Source organism: Homo sapiens, chromosome 1 (genome assembly GCF_000001405.40).
Source record: "Homo sapiens chromosome 1, GRCh38.p14 Primary Assembly".
NCBI lineage: Eukaryota > Metazoa > Chordata > Mammalia > Primates > Hominidae > Homo > Homo sapiens.
In genome coordinates this window covers 20,793,588-20,799,384 of record NC_000001.11, presented here as the reverse complement: position 1 = coordinate 20,799,384, position 5,797 = coordinate 20,793,588, and positions in this window count along the sequence as shown.

Sequence of the window (5,797 nt, the reverse complement as noted above, 5' to 3'; positions counted from 1 at the left end):
CTCTCTCTCTCTCTCTCTCATTTTTTAAATTTAAATTCCTTAGGTGATCATAATATGACCCAGGGTTGAGACGACACTGAAATGGTGAAAATAACCTGATTCAGCTAACAATATAGATAACAATTTATATTTTCAGGTATTTCAGAAATATATTTTAACTGCAAGATGTTGGACAAACAAATGGACTTACATATGGCACATACTTTGAAAATACAGTGTTAGGAGAGCATATAATGGGGACCCTGTATACACTGGGGGATTAGGGAATGTTGCCCTTAGGAGTAGAATTTTAAACAAAAATGTGAAGAATCAAATAGTTAAGGGGTCTGTTGAAATAGAGGAGATCTTGTGTGCAAAGTCCATGGTTGGGGGAACGCATGGTGTATTTGAGAATGAAGAAAGGGTGACAGTATGGCGAGAGTTCATTCTCACATGCAAAAGTCAAATCTGAACGTGCCCAGTGACAAATTAATCCAGACAAACTTTTTCTGGACAAATAGAGGGAAAGAACCTTTTTTTTTTTTTTTTTTTTTTTTTTTTTTTTGACAGAGTCTTGCTCTATCACCCAGGCTGGAGTGCGATGGCACAATCTCAGCTCATTGCAACCTCCACCTCCCGGATTCAAGCGATTCTCTTGCCTCAGCCTCCCAAGTAGCTGGGACTACAGGCATGCACCATCACACCCGGCTAGTTTTTGTATTTTTAGTAGAGACGGGGTTTTACCATTTGACCAGGCTAGTCTCGAGCTCCTGACCTCAGGTGATCCACCTGCCTTGGCCTTCCATAGTGCTGAGATTACGGCATGAGCCACTGCGCCCAGCCATGGAAAGAACTTTTGAAAGCTGCCTTATACTTTCACTTAGCAGAATTCACTAGAGATGAACTTTAGTTGGTTTTTTTAATAGTTACTCAGCAAAAAGAATAACGATGCTTTCAATCATTTCCAATTCGCAATTAGCCACACAGCATGTTAGAATAACTGTAGGCTCTTTGGAGTAACTAGTTATATCTAACCTCAGGGTTAGTCAAAGTATGGGCCTTGGACTAGCAGCATCAACATCACCTGTGAGCTTCTTAGAATGCAAATTCACAGGCCCCAGCCTACTAAAACCGAATCTGAAGAGATGGAAGATCCCAAGAAATCGCTATAAGCGCTTCAGATGATTTTTAGGCACACTGAAGTTTAAGAACCACTGCCTAGGAGTATTTCACATCTCTGCCAGAGTATAGTCCTCTTCAAAAAGCTAACACAAAACAAGTTGTATGCTGCTTTTAGAACCTTTCGGCTTGTACTTTCGCATCTACAACACAGAAACAATAAGCCCTTCCTGATTTCCTTAGTAAACTAATAGTAAATTAATTTCCTAGGCAATGCAGGATGGCATCTAATTGGTCTTCATACTAGGCTTCTGACATGTAAGGTGGTGCTGCTTCCTTTTACCAGGTAGGGAACTGAGTAACACAGAAGTCATGTACCTAGCAAGTGTCAGAAGCAAGACTGGCACTTGGTTTTCTGGGAGGCAGTATTGTCCGAAAAATAACTCTCACCACCAAGAGTTTTCTTTTGGGGAAAATGACGTAGTGGATATAGTTTGGAATATTGGCATTGGAAAAATAGGAGCATTAGTATAGCCCTGCTGGGGTTGCTGAAACCTCGGCTTCCATTTATTTATTTATTTTTTTATGAGACAGGGTCTCACTGTCGCCCAGGCAGTAGCTTAGTGCTGTGATCTCGGCTCATTGCAACCTGTCTCCTGGGCTCAAGGGAGCCTCCAGAGTAGCTGGGACTGTGGCTAATTCTTGTATTTTTTGTAGAGATGGGTTTTCACCATGTTGCCCAGGCTGGTTTTGAACACCTGAGCTCAAGCCATCAACCCACCTTAGCCTCCCAAAGTGCTGGGGTCGCAGGCATGAGTTACTGCGCCCGGCCAGTTGCCTCATCTATAAAACAAAAGTAACATCCACTTCATGGGGTTGTCTTGAGGAATTAAAGGAGATCGGATAAAGTGCCCAGCATTCTGCCTGAAATACCTAGGGCCCTTCCTGTCTGCGTCCAGTGTTCTTTTTCTGCCACACTCTTACTACCTTAGTCATAATCAGTTACATACAGTTAGGCTATGCCATTTTCAGAACTGTAGGAGATTATAGCTTACCTATCCACATTTCTTTCTTTTTTTTTTTTTTTTTTTTTTTTTTTGAGACGGAGTCTCACTCTGTCACCCAGGCTGGGGTGCAGTGGTGTGATCTTGGCTCAGTGCAGCCTCCACCTCCGGAGTTCAAGCGATTCTCCTGCCTCAGCCTCCCAAGTAGCTGGGACTACAGGCATGCGCCACCACGCCTGGCTAATTTTTTTGTATTTTCAGTAGAGATGGGGTTTCATCATGTTGGCCAGGCTGGTCTCGAACTCCTGACCTCAGGTGATCTGCCCGCCTCAGCCTCCCAAAGTGCTGGGATTACAGGCGTGAGCCACCGTGCCCAGCCCACATTTATTTAATATTCTATTGATCAAATTTTTAAAATTGTTTTACTTTCCCTAGAAAATACTATGAAGTCTTTTTTTTTTTTTTTTTTTGAGACGGAGTCTCGCTCTGTTGCCCAGGCTGGAATTCAGTGGCACCATCTCGGCTCACTGCAAGCTCCGCCTCCCAGGTTCACGCCATTCTCCCGCCTCAGCCTTCCGAGTAGCTGGGACTACAGACGCCCGCCACCATACCCGGCTAATTTTTTTGTATTTTTAGTAGAGATGGGGTTTTACCTATCATGTTAGCCAGGATGGTCTCAATCTTCTGACCTCGTGATCTGCCCGCCTTGGCCTCCCAAAGTGCTGGGATTACAGGCGTGAACCACCGTGCCCAGCAATACTATGAAGTCTTAAGTGTCTATCCCTACTGCTAACAGACCTGGGAATAGAGGCTTTTAGCTCCCACTTCTCCTGGGATTCAATAGAACATTGCAAAATCCTTTTTTTTTTTTTTTTAACACAAGGATCAATGCTTAGTGTCCTTTTCAAGTTGTTTATTGCCCTACCTAGAAAGAAAATGACTATTTTCCTACAAAATCATAATGAACTCCTAAAAATACCAGGTACTTAGAAATGCATGTTCTGTCACATCCAGCTCTGGCTTTGTTCCTAATTTAGGGGATGCCAACTACTTTGGGCAAAGAGACAGCTATACCAAACAAGCTGGCTGCTCAGAATAAATTCTAGGCCGGGCGCGATGGCTCACGCCTGTAATCCCAGCACTTCGGGAGGCTGAGGCAGGCGGATCACGAGGTCAGGAGATCGAGACCATCCTGGCTAACAGGGTGAAACCCTGTCTCTACTAAAAATACAAAAAATTAGCCAGGCCTGGTGGTGGGTGCCTGTAGTCCCAGCTACTTGGGAGGCTGAGGCAGGAGAATCGCTTGAACCTGGGAGGTGGAGGTTGCAGTGAGCCGAGATCACACCACTGCACTCCAGCCTAGGCGACAGAGTGAGACTCCATCTCATAAATAAATAAATAAATAAATAAATTCCAGCTTTTTCTTATTAAGTGTCATAGACTCAACCAGCAGAGTGTAAAACAGAGACACAAAGATTAGGATAATCATGTGGGGGTTTCTTCTTGCTCAAAATGTTTTATCTTTTGAGAAGAGCAGGAATATCACCAATAAAATGTCAGGTTTTAAAGTTGAACAATCCTGGGTCTTGATATACATGGTTCTCAAGAATTATGCTACTAATTCCAAAGTTTGGATGGTTGAAAATTTACAGCCTTGTGCAAGTGTCTTAAGAGTACTCAGAGCCAGCCAGGCGCGGTGGCTCACGCCAGTAATCCCAGCACTTTGGGGAGGCCGAGGCAGGCAGATCACGAGGTCAAGAGATCGAGACCATCCTGGCCAACATGGTGAAACCCTGTCTCTACTAGAAATACAAAAATTAGGTGGGCGTGGTGGCGTGTGCCTGTAGTTCCAGCTACTCAGGAGGCTGAGGCAGGAGAATCCCTTGAACCCGGGAGGTGGAGGTTACAATGAGCCGAGATCTCGCCACTACACTCCAGCCTGGCAAGAGAGCGAGACGCCGTCTCAAAAAAAACAAAACTCAGAGCCAGTATGTATTGGTTTTTGAAAAGTTTGCATTTTCTCATCACCATGCAGTTGCGTTTTGATTTATAAAAGGAAATGATCCTTTTCATCACCATCTTTTTAAAACTCTTTTCGTCTCTTTATTTTTTAAATAAATGGATCCAATTTCGTGATTCTGATTTTTAAAATTCAATCTTATTCCCAACCACAGATTTTGACTCATGTTTTCCTTTAAATTACTGGTTGTTTTTTTGTTCTTTTGAGACGGAGTCTTGCTCTGTCGCCCAGGCTGGAGTGCAGTGGTGGGATCTCTGCTCATTGCAACCTCCGCCTCCCAGGTTAAAGCGATTCTCCTGCCTCAGCCTCCCGAGTAGCCAGGACTACAGGCGTGCACCACCATGCCCAGCTAATTATTTATTTATTTATTTATTTTTGAGGTGGAGTCTCCTTCTGTCACCCAGGCTGGAGTGCAGTGGCATGATCTTGGCTCACTGCAGCCTCCGCCTCCTGGGTTGAGGAGGCTAATTTTTTTTTTAATTTTTAGTAGAGACAAGGTTTCACCATGTTGGCCAGGCTGGTCTCAAACTCTTGACCTCAGGTGATCCGCCCACCTCGGCCTCCCAAAGTGCTGGGATTACAGGTGTGAGCCCCCGAGCCAGGCCAATTTTTGTATTCTTAGTAGAGACGGGGTTTCAACATGTTGGCCAGGCTGGTCCTGAACTCCTAACATCAGGTGATCCACCCACCTCAGCCTCCCAAGGTGCTATGATTACAGGCGTCAGCCACCGTGCCCAGCCCAAATTACTGGTTTTATTGAAAAGAAAAATATTCCCCTTTACACTTAAACTTTCTCCAACTACTCCGTATCTACAAAACAAATGTCCTAGGGTAGCCAACTTGGTTTGCTGGGACTTTTCTGGTTTAAAAACTGAAAGTCTGGCTGGTTATGGTGGCTCACGCATGTAATCCCAGCAATTTGGGAGGCCAAGGCGGGTGGATCACAAGGTCAGGAGTTCAAGACCAACCTGGCCAACATGGTGAAACCCCGTCTCTACTGAAAATACAAAAATTAGCCAGGCATGGTGGCACGTGCCTCTAGTCCCAGCTACTCAGGAGGCTGAAGCAGGAGAATTACTTGAACCCAAGGCAGAGGTTGCAGTGAGCCGAGATTGCGCCAGTGCACTCCAGCATGGGCGACAGGGCAAGACTCCATCTCAAGGGAAAAAAAAAAAACAAACAAACTGAAAGTTCAACCCCCACCCTACCCTCAATGGATAAACTGGGACAGTTGGTCACCCTGGATGTCACTGAGCTGACACTAATTTCTGGTCACCCTCAGAGGCCTGGTTGCCCTGCAAAGAAGGGAATCCTCCTGCAAAGATTTGCCTGTAAAGCCACAAAGCAGGAGTGAAAGGGGAGGAACAGTGCTGTTAGTACATTTACTTCACATTACACCATCAAAACAAAACTGGATATATTCTGCTTTTAGTAAATCTGGCAAGTAGTGTCTCTTCAGTCTAAAAAGCGGCTGGTTTGCCTCTGGCATTGAAAGCGGGAAAAGACCTATCAACACAAATCCCAGAACCTGACATGAATACAGGCTTGAAAGCAAGTTCCCTGAAGTTTCCCTGAAGATGGCGGGACTAAGTACTTTACTCCTCTTGGTTTTAGATTCCATCCCTATGGAAAGACTCTTGTAATAACATTCTCAAATGTTTCTGTTCCCTTGAGT